Source organism: Homo sapiens, chromosome 22 (genome assembly GCF_000001405.40).
Source record: "Homo sapiens chromosome 22, GRCh38.p14 Primary Assembly".
NCBI lineage: Eukaryota > Metazoa > Chordata > Mammalia > Primates > Hominidae > Homo > Homo sapiens.
In genome coordinates this window covers 41,160,959-41,183,217 of record NC_000022.11, presented here as the reverse complement: position 1 = coordinate 41,183,217, position 22,259 = coordinate 41,160,959, and the positions used below count along the sequence as shown (strand labels likewise).

The following is a 22,259-nucleotide window of genomic DNA, read 5'->3' as shown; positions in this document are numbered from 1 at the left end:
ACTTTTCAGTGTTTAGTCTGTATTTTGAGTCTGCTTGAGTGTCCCTATGACACATCTGCTGGTTAATTTGCAGCCACCAGTGGGGCTTCTCTGCTGTAAAGGAGATAAAGGACATGGAAAGGAATGGCTTTGGAGTCCAACAGGCCATTGTCCTGGTAAGCCTTTTACTGGCTATGTGATCTTGAGGACCTTATTTCACCTGAGCTTGTTTTTCATTTGTTGAGTGGGGCTGTTATTGAGGAGTCAGTAAGCGAAGTGAATGACAGCACCTGGGGCACTGCTAGCACACTGGACCCATTTCATAGATTGATGTGCTGTAACAGCCCAGGAGGGTCTCACTCGGCCACCCTAGCAGAAATGCAGTGCCACAATCATGGCTTATAGCAGCCTCGACCTCCTGGGCTCAAGCAATTCTCCCCCCTCAGCCTCCCAAGTACCTGAGACTACAGGTGTGTGCCACCATGTTTTTTTTTTTTTTTTTTAATTATTTTTTGTAGAGATGAGGGTCTCACTCTGTTACCCAGGCTGGTCTCCCCACTCCTGGCCTCAAGTAATCCTTCCTCCCTCAGTCTCCCACAGTGCTGGGATTACAGGTGGAAACCTGCACCTGGCCTCTTCCTAACTTTTCATTGTGAACATCCAAAAAACTACAAACGTTGAAATCATCTTATTATATTGCTGACTCTGGATTAATCCGTATCTTCTACCTCCATAACACTATTTCTGATCTGGGAAAGGGCAGCTTTTCCCCCCGCCCTTCTTTTTTTTTTTTTTTTTTTTTTTGAGACGGAGTTTTGCTTGTCTCCCAGGCTGGAGTGCAAGGGCGTGATCTCGGCTCACTGTAATCTCCGCCTCCTGGGTTCAAGCTATTCTCCTGCCTCAGCCTCCTGAGTAGCTGGGATTACCAGTGCCCGCCACCACGCCCAGCTGTTTTTTTTAGTAGAGATGGGGTTTCTCCATGTTAGCCAAGCTGGTATCGAACTCCTGAACTCAGGTCATCTACCCGCCTCAGCCTCCCAAAGTGCTAGGATTACAGGTGTGGGCCACCGTGCCCGGGGCCTAGTTTTGTATTTTTAGCAGAGACGGGGTTTCACCATGTTGGCCAGGCTCGTCTTGATCCACCCATCTTGGCTTCCCAAAGTGTTGCGATTACAGGTGTTAGTCACCGTGCCCAGCCTCCTTCCTATTTAATGACTTCTGCCCCTACTTCCTGCTTTCATCATTGCAGTAAGAATGCACTGGTCTAACACTTCAACCCGGCTGTCTTTAGCCAGAGGCAGAGCTTTGAAACCTGGGAATTTACTGCTTGGAAATGGGATGGAATTCTAAACATTTCCCTTTTGAGGGTTTATTCACATGAATCCTGGGCCCCTAGTCTTAGGGAGCTGGAAGGCCGTATTTCTGGAACAGGTGTTCACTACTTCCGTTTATCGGGTCTCAGCCAAGTAGACCTGGAGCTGCTCCCTAGCAGAATGTGGTGCACTCTTCTGGGCGCCGCCTCCTCTCCTCCTCTTCCTATCTCTCCTCCAACATCCAGCTTCCATGCTACCCTTTCCAGAAACATTTCCAATTCCCATCAGCTAGGTTTTCTTTCATGGATTCCCTCTTGCATTCCTTGCATAGATCACTTGGTGCTTTGTACTTTGTCATGCTGTCTTCTAGACCTTAAGCTGGTTAGGTTGAGGGCAGGGCTGCATGCTGTTCATGTGTGCTCTGCCTGGCCTGGCACAGATGTAGCTGCTCCATGGATATCTGCGGGGTCACTGAGCTGAAGCAGGTGGATGCTGGATGCTTGATACTAGATACATTTTCTGGGGCTGGCTCTGATTAATGCTGAGTGAGTTCACCTCACATTAAGATGCTGGTAAGGTGGCTCATGCCTGTAATCCCAGCAATTTGGGAGGCCAAGGTGGAGGATCACTTGAGTCCAGGAGTTCGAGACCAGACTGGGTAACATAGCAAGACCCTGTCTCTATAAAAATTTTAAAAAGTCAGCCAGGCATGATGGTACACACCTTTGAGTCCCAGCTACTAGGGAGGCTGAGGTAAGAGGACTGCTTCAGCCCATGAGTTTGAGGCTACAGTGAACTACAATTGTGCCACTGCATTCCAGCCTGGGTGACGAGACTGTCTTAAAAAAAAAAGATGCTGGTTGTTTTCAGACTAAAATAGTAGCAACAGGTCAACGTATCTGAAATCCTTTAGCAGTCATATATGGTTAGTGTAAATCTCTGTGATAAAAGAAAGATCTGGAATTGATACCAAAGCAGCTCAGTACTTTTTAGTGTACTAACACATTTGTTTTAACAACTTGTTCACAGCTACTGCAATGTTCAGATGGAGGATCAATAATCTCTCCATTCTTTGAGCATCTAGCATATTACTGGACTCATGTGTAATCTCTCTCAGCCTTCTAGGTTTTATTTCCACACATTTTCCTTCCCTTCAACCCGATTCCAACTGACTTCTTTGTATTCAGTTAGCAAACAGGAGTGTTCCCCTAGCTTCATCTTCTCTGTTTTTAAAAGACGGAGTCTTTGGAGTGCAGTGGTGAGATCCTGGCTAACTGCAACCTCCACCAGGATCTGATTCTCCTGCCTCAGCCTCCCAAGTAGCTGGGACGGCAGGTGCCCACCACCACGCCCTGCTGATTTTTAGTAGAGATGGGGGTTTCACCATATTGGCCAGGCTGGTCTTGAACTCCTGACCTCGTGATCTGCCTGCCTTGGCCTCCCAAAATGTTGGGATTATAGGCGTGAGCCACCATGCCTGGCAAGTCTTGTTTTTTCCAAGAAGTTACTTGGGACTTAGGCAGATATGATCCGTCTTCTTAGGTCCTCCTTCTCATCCCTGTAAGATGAAGGTGATTGGAAGACCATGAGGTCATCCTTAAGGGGTCCTGTATCAAGGTGTTAAGTAGGTTATCACTTCCACCTTGACTGTTAGCTGGTACCTGCAGTACTTTTTCCCAGAACTTTGGATAAATTCACCAAGATCTACTTGTGAATACATTATACGTAGTAGATTAAAGAGGCTATAAGCTAATGCTTTCACTTTTTCCTCTGAATCCTAAGCATTAGGCACTTAAAACGGGTGTACTCCAAGACAAAGATGTGTTATCAAGTGAAACAAAGTCAGGGTGTCTGTCTCACACAGTTTATTTAACAATAGGTAATAAGAAATCAAATTTAACAGTCTATACAGTGATCCAAAGTTCATATTTATAAGTAATCAACTTTAATTGCATGATTTACAACAGTTGAGGGTTTTTGCTATTTTCAAGTTTTATAGAAAGTGTGTGTGTGTGTGTGTGTGTGTGTGTGTGTGTGTGTGTGTGAGTGGGGGGTAGGGTAAGGAGGAAGAAAGCAAGCAAAGAAGAAACCCCCAGGGACATTTTGCATGTTAAAATCATCCCACCGGAATCGTTTCTTACCCTCTTTTTAATTTTTTTACTTTGTTAGATGTAAAAATAACGAAAAAAATTCTTTCAAGAAACAGAAACCACAATATATAATACATCAATTTGGCAGCTGCCCCTGTATATTTTTGAAAAAGTCATTTTTCTCTCTACATGTACAAATTATTTTAATACTTGAAGTTTTACGCTCAGACTTACAGAATAGAAAATTTTCTGGAGCACAAAAGTTGACTTGAGGGGAAGAAAGGCAGTTTTTTTTTTTTTTTAAACATTTTTTAAAAGAATGAACATCTTTGCACCCAGAGAAAAAAAACTGGTATTTTAATATATATTTATATATATTTATATATATATAGAATGTAATTTTAAAGTAACATTAACCCCTTTTGTCCTCTGGTTTAGAAATGTTTTAACTCTTCCATAAAGTGAGGAAAATAGGGAAAAATGTCAACCATCTGCACCAGTAAATAATAACTATTAATATTACATATGTTCATTAATTTAAAAAAAATAATAAAACCTATTGGAGGTGCAAGGCAGGAGCATATTGTTTGGCTTCACAGGCCTCAGCCTCCTCCCAGTGCACACTTGAACCACACACACAAAGGGGAAGAAAGGCTGGTGGTAACCAGCCATAACAAAAATATATTCTTTGTATTCTATCATCCCTCAGGTTCATCTTGCATGTTTGCTTTAAACCACAAACGGCTACTGCACAGTTCTTATGTGTTCCAAGGAAAATTGTCTTTTAGGCTACGAAAGATTCAAAAAAATTGTTTTCAGTACAAAAAGTCTTGTTAAGAGAAAATAATTTTTTTGCTCCCAAAATACTACAAGGTGTCTCTAGTGTATGTCTAGTGTACTCTGTGAGAGGTTTGAATTCAAGTCTGAGTTATCGGTGCTGAGTCCCAGGTCCGTGGCGCTTGCACCATGGAGGTTTGCCATGCCTGGATTGCTAGCAAGCTGAGAAAGCATTGAATTCTGGTCCGGGCTGGCAAAATGCCCTTGTTCCATGGGGTTGGCCTGGGCAGCTACCAGTCCAGGATGTGGGGAACTTGTCTGTGGGGAAACGTGGTGTGGAGAAGGCTGAGGCTGCATCCTTGGGGAAGGACTGGAGTGGGGGGGCTGGGACTGTGGCCGTGGAGAAGGGACAGGCTGGGGAGAGCGCACTTGATTGGAGAGAGAATTAGGGATCTGCTGGCCTTGTAGGTGTGGGGACTGGGCCTGATTTGGGAGCATATGCTGCTGGGGGCTCATGGGGTTGGGCTGAACAGGGGACCCCATCTGTTGCTGAAGGAGTCGCTGCTGATAGGCCTGTAGACTGGCACCTGCCTCTGCTCCCAAGGCCTGGGGAAGCTGGCCTATCTGTCCCATATTTCCTTGTTGCATCTGTTGCATGTGATGCTGCATCCGCTGCTGCTGCTGTGGTGGGTAGCCAACTCCTTGGGGTTGCTGGAACTGGTTATGGTTGGCCATTCCAGGGCCTATTCCTGGCCCTGCTCCCTGTTGCTGCTGCTGTTGCATCATTTGCTGTCGTCTCAAGATGTCTCGGAATTGTGAAGGCATGGTGTTGTGGTTCATGTTCATCTGCTGAGCCTGGGGGCTCATCCCTCCCATGGGTGGCTGGAGTTGCTGCTGTGGTTGCTGCTGGGGCAGGCCAGCCCTCTGAACGCCCGCCTGCATTGGATTCATGTTCTGCATGGCTGGATTGGAGTGGACCCCCTGCTGACCTGGCATGGTAGGTGGCTGTAGCCCTGGCTGCCCCTGGGGCATGCCAGGCTGCCCAGGGATGGGTTGTGGATTAGAGTTGGCATACTTGGCAGCCCGCTGCTTGATGAATGCAGCCAACAGCTGGGGGTTGGCGTGAAGGATACTAAGCACCTGTTGCTGCTGCAGGGGAGAGCTGGGAGACCTGAGAGTCCGCAAAAGGTTTTGTAAGGCTTGTTGAGACACAGTGCCTGGTTTGAGTGGGCTGATACCTACCTGGCCCAATCCTGGTTGTGGAGCCATGTTCAAAGGTTGACCATGCTGGGCCACTGACATCATGGCTGGCCTTGGCATCCCAGACTGTAGTTGCTGGGGCTGAGGCAATCCTCCTTGGCTCCAGGGTGGCTGTTGCTGCATCCCTGTCGGTCCCATCCCTGGCTCCAAATGCCCACTGGGACCTCTGGTCATGGGAGGTGGGTTCATACCCATGGGGGCCATGGGAGTCATCGGGGGCATCTGGTGTTGGATTGGCCTTTGAAAAATTTGCACGTGGGCCATCTGGCGCTGCGTCTCCGCTGCTCTCTGAATCTGCATTGCCATTTCCACTGCTGCAGGTGGGGGCCCTGGAAGGGGTGGCTGAGCAGTCTGAGGAGGGGTTGGAGGGGTCACCTGGCCTGCTGCCTTACCCTGGGACACAGGGCCAGCAGCTTGAGTCCTGGGCAAGTAGGGTGGCATGCTATTGGGAGGGGTAGGCTGAGGCTGAGAAGTGGGCTGGGGCGTCTGCGGGGTGGTTGGCTGTTGGCCAGTTGGTGTCGTTGGAGTGGCAGGAGTGGGGGAAGGGAGGCCCTGTTGCTGCCCAACCACACCAGTCCGCTGCATGCTGGCCATCCTCCTGCGAAGCATTTGGGCCTGCTGTAGTCGGTGCTGCAGCTGTTGCTGCCGGAGCTTCTGCTTGATGTTTAGGCAGAACGGCACCGGGCATTTGTTCTCCTGGCAGTGCTTGGCATGGTAGCAGCAGAGGGCAATGAGCTGCTTGCAGATGGGGCACCCGCCATTGGTTTTCCGTTTGCAACCCTTGGTATGCTGCACAACCCGCTTCATCTTCTGGCAGGATGGCAGTGAGCAATTGGCATTCCGACACTGGCAAGCATGGACCAGAGACTGGATGCAGCGCTGGATACTCAGGCGGCGAGAATCGCCTGGGCTCTGGGTGGCTGCAGCCTGCTGGTTGTTGCTCTCATCATCTAAGCCAAGGCCTAGTTTCTCCATTTTGTGGTCATGGTTTTTAGTGTTATAGCAGGTGATACACAAGTCATAATCCTAGGGAAAAAACAGGAGGTGCACGTAAACTCTCCAAGATTTAAGTCATTCAAAAGTATTTTAGATATTGTTTGGGCTAGAAAAGCCCCTTTCGTAGAACAAAAACTAGCCTCTTCAGCTCTGCCCCTCAAACACGAGGCCAAGCCCCTAGCATCCCACAGGCCTCTATAAAATACGTGGCTGCATGGCCCCTCAGAACAACCCTGCGGAGCTCACCTCCTCCTTCCCACAACCCGGTGCCTACCTCACAGACAGTACAGTGCCAGCGTGTCTCCACATGGTGCTTGCATTCATTGCAGGTGTAGACAAAGCGGTCCTGGCTCTGCGTGTGCAGCTCCACCAGCATGCACATGGTGGACCACTGGGCTCTTCGGAGTGAAGAGAACTCCAGGTGCTTGTCCCTTGCCAGCGTGAGAAACGCATCCCGACCATCCATCAGATCGCAGGGGATGAGAGGATCAGGATCAACAATGGGAGGCAGGGAGTTGGCAGCAGGGCCAGCAATGAGGCGGATCACAAAGAAGACCTGAAAAACAGACAGTCTCTTTTTTTTGAGACAGGGCCTCGCTCTGTCATCCAGGCTGGAATGCAGTGGCGTGATCTTGGCTCACTACAACCTCTGCCTCCTGGGCTCAAGCAATTATCCCACCATGGCCTCCTGAATAGCTGAGACCACAGGCCCACACCACCACACCTGGCTAATTTCTGCATTTTTTGTAGAGACGAGGCTTCGCCATGTTGCCCAGGCTGGTCTCAAACTCCTAAGCTCAAGTGATCTGCCTGCCTCAGCCTCCCAGAGTGCTGGGATTACAGGTGTGAGCAGGTACAGCAGGCTGAGCACCAATGAGACTGGCGAATGCTGAGTTAGTTTCACCACCATACGCCTCCTGTTCCTTTTCCTGCTTTACCTCTTTGGTCTCTTGAGACTGACTATAAATAGAACTGAAATGCACATCCTGTGATTTTTTTCTCCTTCATTCAGTAACTCCTTCAGAGTAACAATGGTCTGGGTGAGGTATAGCACCATGCACAGTGGACATTTTGCCTCAAGGCAGTCTACTTTAAGATGCAATCCATGGTTTAACCTCAATCTAATTACAACAAACCAGACAAATCCAAATATGGAGACAGTATGAAAAACAACTGGCCTGGACTCATGAAGGTCCCCTATGCAACTTTCCTGTGTAACTTTTCCTACAGGTTTGGAAGGGAATGGAATGGATAAAAAATCTTAGTCTTTGTTGACAAAGCAATAAAATTCTTGTTCATTGAAGTTTGAAAAAACTTGTAACAACCATCAATTCTCATAACCATTAGTGTAAAAGGTATAAAAAGCTGGTATTACATATGTATTTGACATTAATTAGTATATAACTATAAACACCTATTAAAGTAATAAAATGTAAAACATCCCCTTAAGAAATTAGGAACTTGTGAGAAACTGCTGTACTGATAACAGATTATTCAACATCTGTGCACACTGGCAGCCACACTCACAGTCTCTGGCCAGCAATGTTCGCTGCTTCTGTCACCCTACAACCAGGCCAATACTTGGATTTACAACCTAAATTTAAACAGCCATGGAATGTGTCCACAATTTAAGTCAAACCTATTACAATATATTCTAAGGGCTTTTCCCAACTGCCTAGGATTCTGTGGCATTACTTACTGCTTGAAATAGCTAGTAACTATTAATTGTTAATAATCATTACCTAACGTATTAGAACTCAGGAATCCTTCCATTTCACTAGCATGGCTGAGATAATGGTTATTACCATTATTACATCGTAGCCCATTATTCTAGGCTAACAAAAAAGGGGTGGTGATGGGGGGAGCAGTGGGGGAAAAGATACTTTGAACACCTATGTATATAGGTGTTCACCATGATAACATCATTATAACAAATTCCTCTCTAAAAAAGATTTTGTTAACTATTTCTCTCCCAAAGAGACTGTTTAACCAATTTTTAGGTACGGAATTACAACCTGAAATCAAGCCTTCATTTCCCTCTCAACTTAATTACCACTTCCTATAAGAACTTGATTATATGTCTGAGAACCGAGATAGTAAAATGAGGAGTCTGACTGAACAATCGAGATTACTACCATTGGACAAACCCTGAGAGGAATTACTCTTCAATTCTCCTGGCTTTCGTTATCAATTATATGATATTAAAGAGAGAAAAAAAAAACCTTACCCAGTTATTTTCCCAAATGACTGCAAGAACAACTAAACAATGTAAATGATGAAATAACTCAAAAAGTTTTGAGAAGGGGGTTGTAAGTCCATATGTGGAAGTTTAACTTTTCTCCAATTCTATTTACTAATTCACTTTCAGAAAGGTTAAATCTTTTTATTTTTTGAAACAGAGTCTCGTTCTGTCACCCAGGCTGTAAGTGCACTGCAACCTCTGCCTCCCAGGTTCAAGTGATCCTCCCACCCCAGCATCCCAAGGATTACAGGTGTGTGCCACCACGCCAGGCTAATTTTTGTATTTTTAGTAGAGACGGGGTTTCGGTTCGCCATGTTGGCCAGGCTGGTCTCCAACTCCTGACCTCAAGTGATCCGCCTGCCTCAACCTCCAAAGTGCTGGGATTACAGGCATGAGCCACCACGCCCAGCGAACAGTCAGTGTTTTTATTCATTTCTTATTTCTTTTTCTGAGGTGGAGTTTCGCTCTTGTTGCCCAGGCTGGAGTGCAATGGAGTGACCTCGGCTCACTGCAATCTCCGCTTCTCAGGTTCAAGCAATTCTCCTGCCTCAGCCTCCTGAGTAGCTGGGATTACAGGCATGTGCCACCATGCCCAGCTAATTTTGTATTTTTAGTAGAGCAAGGTTTCACCGTGTTGGTCAGGCTGGTCTTGAACTCCTGACCTCAGGTGATCCACCCGCCTTGGCCTCCCAAAGTGCTGGGATTACAGGTGTGAGCCACCATGCCTGGCCAGAAATCTTGCCGTTTTTCCCCAACTCTGGGTGGCTGCATCTTACCTCTTTATGCTTCTCCATGGTGGCATATAGTTTCTGTGAGAGGTCGTTAGATACATTGGGCATCCCGGGTTTCTTCTTGTTGCCCCTACTCAGGCTGCTCTTATTTTTGCTGGTTTTCTTATTATTCTTCTTTTTAGCATTTTTGCTGTCTCCCTTGGTCACCTGCAGAGTAGCACAAAGGAGACAAGAAAATAAGGTTTTTGTTAAGTAATTTGGGAATAGCACAGAATATCTCCCTTCTTTGAAACTAGATATCATAATCTTATGCCTGTAACTTATTTTACTAGCTGTTCTCTTCACTTATTCTTTCTCCTTAAAGTTGTTATTTGACCTAATTTTCTCCCAGTGATCTTTAAGGCAATGGCAGCCCTTTAGCTTTTTGCCTAGAAGAGGCCACAGAATGTGCAGACCCTGTAGATTGATTGAATGTATCCCAGATTGGGGCTAGGGAACAAGGAAGGGGTGGCACTTTGGGGTAGTGAAGAGTGTATCAAAGTGGGGAGCCAGAAGACCTTGGTTTTATTTCCTTCCACTCATATTCTAAAATGTTATGAGCCTACAAATACTAAATGACAAGGCTGTAAGAGTTTGTTAACAGACTATTTAAGGGTGCCTTTTGTTAAGTTAAATTCAATGGAGGTAATTCGAGATATGCTATGGGGAAATAACTGGTGAGGTTACTAAGCCAGGCTTAGTAACTTAAATTCTGGCTCAGGCCTATTTTGTATAGCTAAGAATGGTTTTTTACATTTAAAAAGAGTGTGTTTTTAAAAGACAGAAAATATGCCAGAGATATGTGACCCACAAGGCCTATAATATTCATAACCTAGTCCTTCAGATAAGTAATCTTCTATCAGTTTTTCAGGATTTCCTTCAGTTTCTTTTATCATTTCACATTACTCAAAGTCTGAGATGCCATTTTAAAAGGGGCTCTGATGCTTTAAAAGTTTAATACCACTGAAACAGAACCCTAATAACCTCTCTAAGCCAATATTTCTTGTCCAACTTAAAGAGCTCTTTTACACCTGAAAGCTTTAAAACCCAATTGAAAGTTTAAGTGCACTTCTGGATTAAATATTAGAATCATGATAGAAGTTTCAAAGGAAACTCAATGCCCTTACATCTGTGCTTTCATTGCTGGTGTTTTCCTCTCGTTTTCTCTCTTCTTCCTCCTGTTCCAGTTCCTTAATGCTTTCTTCCAGAACATTGGGCCAGAAATCACCCTCGAAATAAGGCAATTCCTTTGCACTTGTTAATCTATCTTCAGTAGCTTGTTTAAAAATATCCTGTGAAAACATGCATGTACATATAGGAATTTCTATGTTCTTTTAAAGCATTGATTATACAGAATAATCATGGCTGACAAGAAACATGAAAGCTTAAAATGTCTTGAAAGCTGGCAGAGACTTTATACCTAAGCCGTAAGCCAGGGAGTATTTAGAAAAATAAATAGTGAAAAGGCCTGGCCTAAAGTCAATATTTCCGGTTTTCTATTTCTTCTACCCACAAAAACAGGGAGCTTATCTGCCTTTATATAACCAAGTGGCAATTATCCTGCCAGGATCAACGTCAGGGTGGTAGCACCATCATGCATGCCATGGCCCCTACCACTCCTTATCACAGAATATGTGGTATGAAGCATGCCCTCCTCACACCCATCCTTGGAATTTCAGCAGCTTTTACTGACAGCTTTGTTCAAAATGACCAAAACTACAAATACTGGAAATAGTATCTGCTGCAGAATGATTTGCTGGGCTGCTTAGGAAAACTTCTTTATTTAGTTGAACTACTAAATTGAGGAAGACAAGTCTGTATCATGAGACAACCTATATTTATGAATAACATAATACTGTTAATTAAGAATATATTTTTGGCCAGGTGCAGTGACTCACACCTGTAATCCCAGCACTTTGGGAGGCCGAGGCAGGTGGATCACCTGAGGTCAGGAGTTCGAGACCAGCCTGACCAATGTGGAGAAACCCCGTCTCTACTAAAAATAGAAAAAATTAGCCTGGCTTGGTGGTGCATGCCTGTAATCCCAGCTACTCGGGAGGCTGAGGTAGGACCATCACTTGAACCCAGGAGACTGCACCATTGCACTCCAGCCTGAAACTCCGTCCAAAAAAAAAAAAGGGAGAATATATTTTTGGCTGGGTGATGTGGCTCATGCCTATAATCCTAGCACTTTGGGAGGCTGAGGTGGGCAGATCACTTGAGCTCAGGAGTTTGAGACCAGCCTGGGCAACATGGTGACATCCTGTCTCTACAAAAAATATACAAAAATCAGCTAGCTCTCGTAGTGTGCACCTAGTCCCAGCAACTCAGGAAGCTGAGATGGGAGGATGGCTTGAGCCTGGGAGGCACAGGTTGCAATGAGCGGGTATCATGCCACTGCACCCTAGCCTGGGTGACAGAGAGTGACCCTTTCTGAAAACAAAACACCCACACCCCTAAAACCCTAACCAACCCAAACCAAACCAACAAAAAACCAAAACAAAAAGATATATTTTAAGGCCGGGCACAGTGGCTCATGCCTGTAATCCCAGCACTTTGGAATGCTTGAGGCCAAGAGTTCAAGTCCAGCCTGGGCAGCATGGCGATACCCCAACTCTATCCCCACCCTCCCCCCAAAAATAAATAAAATAAAATTTTGGTTACATGTTTAAAACAGGGATTTCTTGATCTACCGCTCTTCAAAACCTGGTTTTTCTTATATTGAAAAATTTTGAATATACAAAATAAAAGCAATCAAATTAGCATTTTTAGGAATTACATGCAAGAGGTAGAACAAGCAAGACTTTTGTTTAAAAAAAAAAAAAAAAGGCTGGGCACGGTGGCTCATGCCTGTAATCCCAGCACTTTGGGAGGCCAAGGCGGGCGGATCACAAGGTCAGGAGATCGAGACCATCCTGGCTAACACGGTGAAACCCCGTCTCTACTAAAAATACAAAAAAATTTAGCCGGGTGTGATGGCAGGAGCCTGTAGTCCCAGCTACTCAGGAGGCTGAGGCAGGAGAATGGCATGAACCCAGGAGGCGGAGCTTGAAGTGAGCCAAAATCGTGTCACTGCACTCCAGCCTGCGTGACAGAGCGAGACTCCGTCTCAAAAAAAAAAAAAAAAAAAAAAAAAAGTTAAATGACAGAACAAAGAGCAGCAACATTAGTGCATTTCCAGATCTATTGTCAGCACCTGGCCCCTATGTCCCAACTGACCTTGTAGTCATGGACAATACGCTCTGATACAGCCTTGTCAAGCATTTTTTTGTACCATTCCTGCAGTCGCTTGGGCTTGGGTATCTTCTGGTCAGGAGGATGGCAATGGAAGATATAATCATCTCCCTCACTTGGTGGACATGCCCAAATATGCCCTGTTGTGTAACTAACAATACAAAGAGAAAGAACATTAAGGAAAAGAGATAATCTATTCTAGAAGGCTACATTTTAAACCACAAGTTGGAGTTGATATAGATACCAATAATTTTTCCCAAGATAACACAGTGTATATATAACCCAGAATGAGATTAACATTGTGAGGCCAAAATTAGGCATAACTCACAGTAGTAACAATGGATCTCATATTGCCTACTTATTTTTGGAGGCCATGGTGGGATGTTGCGAATCTCAGCCACGAAGTGGGTGACTTAGCCCTGGATCCAAAAACCCTAAGTCTGCATGTTAAGACCAAATGAAGATTACACTGCAAAGGAAAATGGACCCATTTAACAAGAGCTAAATTAAAAGGCACACTGTTCAGAGAAACAGACTTCAAGATGAGGGAGTGAATGTTTCCAATGACATACATACTCTAAAGGTAAGAAGTATCTCCAGAACTGTTTTTGGTCTTCATACCCAGGTTGTAAAAGGATCAAATGCAGTTAAAATTCTGCCCTCAAATGAGGGGCACAAATCAAACTTCAAAGCAAAGTGGACCCAATGGCTTAGCTTACAAACAAAACTAATGTTGGATGGGTGAAACTAGGGCCAACATATCCATTTCTCTCTACTGACATTAACTTCAAAGGGGCTCCAACAAAGTTAAGAGAATTGTTACGTAAGAACTAAAATGAGGAAAAAAAGGCCAAGAGTTATATATTTGCATATTTAACCTATATCTCACCAGAATGCCATGCTAGTTAAAGAAAAAAAGCCATTATCAAAATATGCTTACCCTAATTTCTTGACATATTCTAAATATCCAATTAGGATTTCATGATAGACTGCAGTCCTCAAGCATTTAGGACGGAAGAAATGAACACTATCGAGGTAAGATATGTATACTCTCCTATACAAAATGAAGAGAAATGAAGAGGAAAAAAAAAGTCAGGTCACATAATGAGTTCTTTACTCCATGTGCCTAATAACACCCTCTCACTCTCCCAGGCTCTTTGCTCACATCGTTATTTGTGAAGCTCATCACAGGCAGGTAGGCGACTCCGCCGTGAACCCTTCAGGGAAGTTCAGTGAGCCTGTGGTTTCCTTCTATTTGTAGTAACTAGCAGTGCCTGGCACATACACATCAATCAGTATTTGGTGATCCCTATACGTTTTTATTATTGCCTTTATACTATTTTTGGAGAAAAGAAATTCCCACCCGATTTGTATGATATATTTTCACATAGCTACTTAATCCAGATTTAAGCTCATTTTCTGAAGAGTAGTACGTTTGTTTTCAAATTCCAATTTCAGGTTGCTATTCATATCCTTTATTACTATGACCACAGAAGAGCAGTATTGAGCGGTTATTTTGTTTGGGGGTTTGCTTTTTAATCTGTTTCACTTTAAAATTACTGGACACTTGAGATTTTGCATTTCCAAACCAAACACACTAAACATTTTCTTGCCTGTTATGCTTTTCCACCTATTATAAGTTGGAACTCCCACACAAATCCGGAGCTAGCCACTGTGAGCTAGTCATACCTCTGGTTGGGTGGAGGGCAGTCAGAGCCATACTCTTGAACATGCATGCCAAAGAAGCACAGGTCAACACCATCAATTTCTTCAAAGGCAAAGAGGGCTTTGGTTCGGTATGGAAAGGATTCTGCCATCTCTCCACTGTCCACAAACCTATACAATTGAGATGGTGGGGGAACCACAACATAACTCATTCAGACTGGAATCACCAATAGTAACCATGTATGAGCAATTTTGGATCCACGAGGAGAAGAAAAGTGAAATGACTAGATACCTTGCTTTCATGCCTGGTTTTACTTCCACGGTTTTGTCAGAAGCATGAACTACTCTAACAGTGACCTCTCCTGACTCAGGGTGATTCTGTCGCCTCAGAAAGTCATTCACACGATTCTCTAGAAAGGTGCCAAGTCTGGTAGATGGCAACCCTAGGAATGTAAAAGTTAAAAGTTACTGAGGTGCAAATTTACTGTTGTTAGTCTTAAGGTTCAACCTCAAATCTCATTTGTACTTTTTTCAATACAAACAGGATAACTTGGTGAAATTTTAAAAAATCATAGCAAAGTAGTCACTACTTTGCAGATTTACATGTCATATGAGTGCAGGGAACATGCTAATCTTCATATCATTCTAATTTTAATACATGTGCTATTAAAGCAGACACAGTACTCAATAATTTCTAAATATCATTTTCCCCAACTTCTCATTTTGAAAAATTTCCAATTTTGGAAGAGTTTATAAAAATACAGAACAGGGGCCGGGTGCGGTAGCTCATGCCTGTAATCCCAGCACTTTGGGAGGCTGAGGTGGGCGCATCACCTGAGGTCAGGAGTTCGAGACCAGCCTGGCCAACATGCTGAAACCCCGTCTCTACTAAAAATACAAAAATTAGCCAGGCATGGTGGTGCACGCCTGTAATTCCAGCTACTTGGGAGGCTGAGGCACGAGAATCGCTTGAACCCGGGAGGCAGAGGCTGCAGTGAGCTGAGACTGCGCCACTATGGGCGACAGCGAGACTCTGTCTCAAAAAAAAAAAAAAAAAAAAAAAAACAAAAAAAAAAACAAAAACAAACAGAAATAGAACAATGGCCAGGAGACAAGGCTCACACCCATAATCCTAATCCTTGTACTTTGGGAGGCTGAGGTGGGAGGATTGCTTGAATCCAGGAGTTCAAGATCAGCCTGGACAACACAGTGAAACCTTGTTTCCAAAAAACAAAAAACCCAACCAACCAAACATTATATATATATATATATATATATATATATATATATATATATATATATATATACACACACACACACACACACACACAAATATATAAACAATGAACATCTCTATGTACTTTGCCTAGATTGCAGTAATATTTTAAAGTAACGAAGGTTGAGCATTTTGAGAAACCTTACAAGAATCAAAATAATCTGTAGATCAGTAAAACACCCCAAAACTAAATCAAATACTACATTTAGATTATTAGTGTTAATTACTTACATGATAAAATTTTTGACATCCTCCTGGCACAGTAGAAAACAATCACATAAGGCCAAAAGGTAGCCCATATAAATGGTGTGAACTGAGGGGTTGGGCATGGTGGTTCACGCCTGTAATCCCAGTACTTTGGGAGGCCAAGGTGGGTGGATCACCTGTGATCAGGAGTTTGAGATCAGCCTGGCCAACATGGCAAAACGCCATCTCTAATAAATTACAAAAATTAGCTGGGTGTGGAGGCACATGCCTGTAGTCCCAGCTACACTGGAGGCTAAGACAGAAAAATCACATGAACCTGGGAGGCGGAGGTTGCAGTGAGCTGAGATCGTGCCACTGCACTGTGCAGCCTGGGGGACAGAGTGAGACTCTCAAAAAATAAAATAAAAAATAATAAATAAACAAACTGAGAGATGGCAATTCCGGCCAATCATTTCCACACCTTATTCCTCCTTTATGAAATGCCCCAAATAGGGAAAAATATAGGAACAGGAAAAACACGTATCTTGTGCATTCTACAAATCCGTTCCTTGGAAATTTTTTTCTTTGGTCTAATAAATTTCACACCAAAAAATATATTACAGATCAACTATAAGGAGATTATAGAATTATTTTATTTTTACTCTATTACTGTGATTAAAAACAAAGTAATTCACTTTGGATGGTTTCTTATCTAGGCTTCAGATAAGTTTTGCCAAAATTTACCTTTAAGAATAAAACTTACTTTTAGCAGAAAACTTATTTTCTTTCCTAGTTCGTGCACTTTTCTTTAAACAGCCATCACAGACGAATCTAAATGTAAACCAAAACTTTGCTTACACAACTTAGATAAACCGTTGAATTTATACTAACAAAAAGTTAAAATTCAAAAGACAATCTAGCAGAAGTATTTCTAAATTTCTAATGAAGAGTTAATAAAACTAATACACAAAGAGCTTTTAGAAATCAGTAAGAATAAAAAAGATAATTGAAAATCAAGCAACAGACATGAAGAAACATGAAGGGCATATAAATTGGTTTACACAGGAAAAGATGATCAAGGATTACAAATCAAGATAGGTTTTGCTAATGTGATAGGGGAGAAAAATCCTAAGAGGTGACATTTCCTATATGCTACTAGTTGGAAAGTACATTTTGAGAGTAGAACCAATAGATTCAGCTACTGCAAATGCACATGATATTTGTCTCCTAAGTAGTTTCTTGTATAAACTTGTTCATCAACCAAGTAAATAAATGGATTATAGTATGTTACAGAATACTATGCATCCATTAAAAATGCAGCAGACATAAATGAGTGTCTATGACCAGCCAGGCGTGGTGGCTCCCGCCTGTAATCCCAGTACTTTGGGAGGTCGAGGTGGGTGGATCTTTTGAGGTCAGGAGTTCAAGACCACCCTGACCAACATAATGAAACCCTGTCTCTAGTAAAAATACAAGAATTGGTCAGACATGGTGGTATGTGCCTGTAATCCCAGCTACTCGAGAGGCTGAGGCAGGAGAGGCTGAGGCAGGAGAATTGCCTGAACCCAGGAGGTGGAGGTTGCAGTGAGCTGAGATCACACCATTGCACTCCAGCCTGGGTGATGAAAGTGAGACTCAATTAAAAAAGTCTATGACTTATAACAAAATACAAAAATTAAAAATTAAATACACATAAATCAAGAAAATGTGCCAGGTGCAGTGGCTCATGCTGTAATCCCAGCACTTCGGGAGGCCGAGGTGGGTGGATCACCTGAGGTCGGGAGTTCAAGACCAGCCTGACCAATATGATGAAACCCTGTCTCTACCAAAATACAAAAATTAGCCGGGCATGGTGGCACACACCTATAATCCCAGCTACTAGGGAGGCTGAGGCAGGAGAATCACTTGAACCTGGGAGGCAGAGGTTGCAGTGAGCCGAGATCGCGCCACTGCACTCCAGCCTGGGCAACAAGAGCGAAACTCTGTCTCAAAAAAAGAAAAAAAGAAAATGTATGATTGTATGTACAAAAGAGTGTTATTCCTGTAGTGAGGAATCTGGGTGGGAAGAGAGAAGCTGAGACCGTCGCTTTTTACTTCATAAACTGTCATACTATTCAAATTTTATAATGAACATAAATTACTTTTAAGAAAAAGCAAGCTTAACACAGTAATAACAGATTATTTTCATTCAGTTGACTGATCCTAAATTAGAAGAACCACAAGAAGTCTCTTAATCATTCTTACGAAATCTGTTAAGGAAAGCACTAAAAAGGCACACTTAAAAGACAAGTCACACTGAAAATAAAGTATCCACTAAACCATCACCTATTTTCCTTAGTGTTATTTTCTATGTGAAAATAACGGTGAAAAAAAGAAAAGTGAAATCTGTCAATTAGCCTGCCCTTTCTTGTAACCTCCAAATCAGGAACAACAATCAGCCCAAGAACAGAGCAGAAGAGATGGAGATCCCATCTTAATGAGAGGCACTGGATGTCCCATATACCCGCTTCCTTTGGAACATGGCTGGGATTAGTTCCTCTTGTACAGAGCGATGGCCCCTCCCTTTTACTAGGCAATTACACTATGACTGCAGCCTTATAACTTGCTGTTCCTGCCCTAACCAAATGGTGACCCTTACCAGGGCCAGACCTATTCATGCCAGCAGCATGATCCTAGTTTCTAGATGCCGGAACAAAAGCATTTACTTTTTTCTTTGAGACAGAGTCTCACTCTGTCACCCAGGCTGGAGTGCAGTGGCGTGATCTCAGCTCACTGCAACCTCCCCCTCACAGGTTCAAGTGATTCTCTTCCCTCAGCCTCCCTCCTGAGTAGCTGGATTACAGGCGTGCACCACCACGCCAGGCTAATTTTTGTATTTTCAGTAGACACGAGGTTTTGCCATGTTGGTCAGGCTGGTCTGGAACCCCTGTCCTCAGGTGATCCGCCCGCCTCGGCCTCCCAAAGTGCTGGGATTACAGGCGTGAGCCACCTCGCCTGGCCATAAATATTTACTTTTGATGTGTAATAACTACAATATAATTTTAATAAACAATCCAGCAGAATAAAATATATTTATATGGCTAAGAAGAATGCATAAAAATAAGATAAAAATCTATTTTTGGATACTAGGTTACTTAATTTTTAAAAAGCGAACTATAATTATCGTGGCCAAACCCAAAGAAAACAATTTAAAGATAGTAACTTTGAAGATATAATACAGTCAATTGCATAGAATAAAAAACTTGTTAATATTCACGATAAAGAAAAATTCCAGAGAAAGTAACAACGTTAAGACTTACCCAGCAGGCCAGATGATCTCATGGTGAAGGACACAGATCTGATGCATCTTTCTTCCGCACTCTGTACATTCAACAAACCTGGAAGAGCAGAGCCAATTCCAAAATTAACCCCAAACCTTAACCAAATGAAAACTTGCAATATTTCCCATGACTTCTGACAAAGACAGCCAAGGTCATGACCAAAGAACTGAAAATAGTTTTAATAAAGTTTCTATTTTTTTAGAGATAGGGTCTCTGTTGTACAGGCTGGAGTGGGTGGCATGATCACAGCTCACTACAACCTTAAACTCCTGGGCTCAAGCCATTTTCCTGCCTTGGCCTCTCAGCTACCTGGCTAGGATAGGCACATACTATCATGCCTGGCTGTTTTTTGTTTTGTTTTCTGAGATGGAGTCTCTCTGTGTCGCCCAGGCTGGAGTGCAGTGGCGTCATATCAGCTCACTTCAACCCCTGCCTCCCGGGTTCCAGCGATTCTCCTGCCTCAGCCTCCCGAGTAGCTGGGATTACAGGCGCGCACCACCACGCACAGCTAATTTATATATTTGTAGTAGAGACGGGATTTTGCCATGTTGGCCAGGCTGGTCTCGAACTCTTGACCTTGGGTGATCCTGCCTTGGCCTCCCAAAGTGCTGGGATTACAGATGTGGGCCACTGTGCCCGGCCAAACCTGGCTAATTTTTTTTTTTTTTTTTTTTTGAGACGGAGTCTCGCTCTGTCGCCCAGGCTGGAGTGCAGTGGCGGGATCTCGGCTCACTGCAAGCTCCGCCTCCCAGGTTCACGCCATTCTCCTGCCTCAGCCTCCCAAGTAGCTGGGACTACAGGCGCCCGCCACTACGCCCGGCTAATTTTTTGTATTTTTAGTAGAGACGGGGTTTCACCGTTTTAGCCGGGATGGTCTCGATCTCCTGACCTCGTGATCTGCCCGCCTCGGCCTCCCAAAGTGCTGGGATTACAGGCGTGAGCCACCGTGCCCGGCCAAAACCTGGCTAATTTTTAAGACAGATTCCTGGTGCTGAAAATTCCAAATAAATCCAAATACCATCCCATCCATTTTAGGAACATCTAGAAGACATACATGTCAGTCCTCCATGATCTAAAAGGCCTCACTGCAAACTAGAAGTTTAGATCTTTAATGTTTCACATTCAACATTAAGAACATTAAAATTAACATTAAGAAATAATGTTCCTTAGTACTTCAGTGTTTTCCATGGTTTTACTATCCATTAGATGTATGTTATGTAGATTTAGCCCAAGAATATAGGATCATCTGATTGGTCATGCAAACTTCAAGAGAATGAAAGGGAAAAAGAAAAGCCAAAGCGTACTGACTATTCAAGGGGATCGTACTTACAGTTCAGGATCCAGTGTGTCATTTTTTCTCTTGGAAAATTGTTCTTTATTTATTGTACTAAGGAGAGAAAAGGGACACAATGAGAAAAAGTGATAGAGATGAGCAATCTGACTGCTGTTCTAACCAAAGGAACAAACTTCACCCTATATAGAGATTCAGGTTTTTTAAGAATACACATTTAAATAGGTGTATTCTTGGCTCACACAAAATGCATGTTTATGTAAAGGAATATTCTATAGGACTTCATAGTAAATAAATTTCCTCTTATCAGAAATGGAGAACCCAGGAAGAACTAGAAATACTGTTTCTTCTTTTCCTTTTAAAATCTTGTCTGTTACTATTCTTGGTGTTAGGTATCATGGCTTCCCATCCTGAAACCCAGCATAACACACTGCTCATAGCCTCACTACATACAAAAGCTAACAGTCTTACCATTCTCCAACTAGGATCCACATTCTCCAACTAGAATCAACATTAGGGGGACCAACTTGGACTTCTGTTATACTTCCTTACAAAAATGAGGACATGTCCACATTGAAAACCGTTTCTTATACTAGTTATGGCCTAGAGATTCATTCATCTCTGTTAATAGCATTTTCCTGAATGGCCTGTCTTGCTACTCCAAGTGCAATCTGAAGATGAGCAGCACCAGAACAATCTGGGAGTTAGAAATAGACACTTGGATCCACTACAGGCCTGCAGAATTGGGAAGGGTCTTGTTCCTACTCTTTTCAAAGTTAGAGATGTACTGCCTTAAGGTTTAGACTATTTGGTAAGCCACCTGAGAGTTCAATGACAAGGCTTACGTCTCTTCCTGCATCAAGGAAACTTACCCTAGAGCTAACCTTCCTGGCTTAACCAAATGTCAAAATGTTTCAAGGATCAAAGGCTCCTAGTATCTACTCTCCTAGCTAGCACCCAGACACTGCTATCTTTAGAACGCAATTTAGAAAAATTAACCAGCTTTTCTCAGAAGCCCCATTTTTACTAGGAACAAGAGAATTCCAAATTTTTGTGCAACGTCCTGAACAGAAGTAAATATGAACTTTCAATAATATTAAAATTACACTGAACAGTTTTTCCTTCTTAGACAGTCCCAGTTTGAATTCTAATGACTGCCTACATCTTAAGTTACTTTTTTCTTTTTTTCTTTTATTTATTTTGAGACAGACTCTCGCTCTGTCGCCCAGGCTGGAATGCAGTGGCCCAATCTCAGCTCACTGCAAGCTCCACCTCCCGGGTTCACGCCGTTCTCCTGCCTCAGCCTCCCGAGTAGCTGGGACTACAGGCGCCCACCACCATGCCCGGCTAATTTTTTGTATTTTTAGTAGAGACAGGGCTTCACCGTGTTAGCCAGGATGGTCTCGATCTCCTGACCTCGTGATCCGCCCGCCTTGGCCTCCCAAAGTGCTGAGATGACAGGCATGAGCCACCACGCCTGGCCAGAGATTAAACTATTAGACTATATGTTTGAAATTTTTTTCTTGGCCATTTACCAAATGGTAAGAGCTTGTGAGACTGCAAAGCACAAGCAAATCTCTTAAACCCCGGCATGCTGTTAAAGTCTATTATTCACTACAATAGTGACTTGGGTCTTCTGTTAACCTACAAGAGAAGGGTGTAAGGTGGTCATCAGTTCAATCACCCTCAAACTCAGAACAGTTAATAATGATGTTTTCTTGTACTAACCTCCAATTTTTCGAAGAGAAGCTGATTGCTTCCTATACAGAATACTTTTACTAGAACTAAGATGATTGCCCATTGCTGACATATTCCCTAATTCATTGATGTCTCAAAGAGCTTTCTACTATGATGGATATG

General features: G+C 43.3%; 1 protein-coding gene and 1 pseudogene across 2 annotated transcripts in view; both read right to left on the bottom strand.

Annotated features, from left to right (window-relative positions):
* EP300 (EP300 lysine acetyltransferase) overlaps positions 3,141-22,259 on the bottom strand; it is an 87,486-nt gene continuing 68,367 nt past the window's right edge. For both annotated transcript variants that reach the window (NM_001429.4, NM_001362843.2), the window contains 11 exons: positions 20,439-20,495; positions 19,088-19,165; positions 16,552-16,619; positions 14,619-14,769; positions 14,351-14,497; positions 13,602-13,715; positions 12,647-12,812; positions 10,555-10,719; positions 9,434-9,595; positions 6,690-6,971; positions 3,141-6,445 (listed from right to left, as the gene is read on the bottom strand). In NM_001429.4, the coding sequence (NP_001420.2) occupies positions 4,262-6,445; positions 6,690-6,971; positions 9,434-9,595; positions 10,555-10,719; positions 12,647-12,812; positions 13,602-13,715; positions 14,351-14,497; positions 14,619-14,769; positions 16,552-16,619; positions 19,088-19,165; positions 20,439-20,495 (3,574 nt within the window). In that variant the 3' untranslated portion in view covers positions 3,141-4,261. The remainder of the gene's footprint in view (positions 6,446-6,689; positions 6,972-9,433; positions 9,596-10,554; positions 10,720-12,646; positions 12,813-13,601; positions 13,716-14,350; positions 14,498-14,618; positions 14,770-16,551; positions 16,620-19,087; positions 19,166-20,438; positions 20,496-22,259) is intronic.
* RNU6-375P (RNA, U6 small nuclear 375, pseudogene) lies at positions 14,902-15,001 on the bottom strand (annotated as a pseudogene).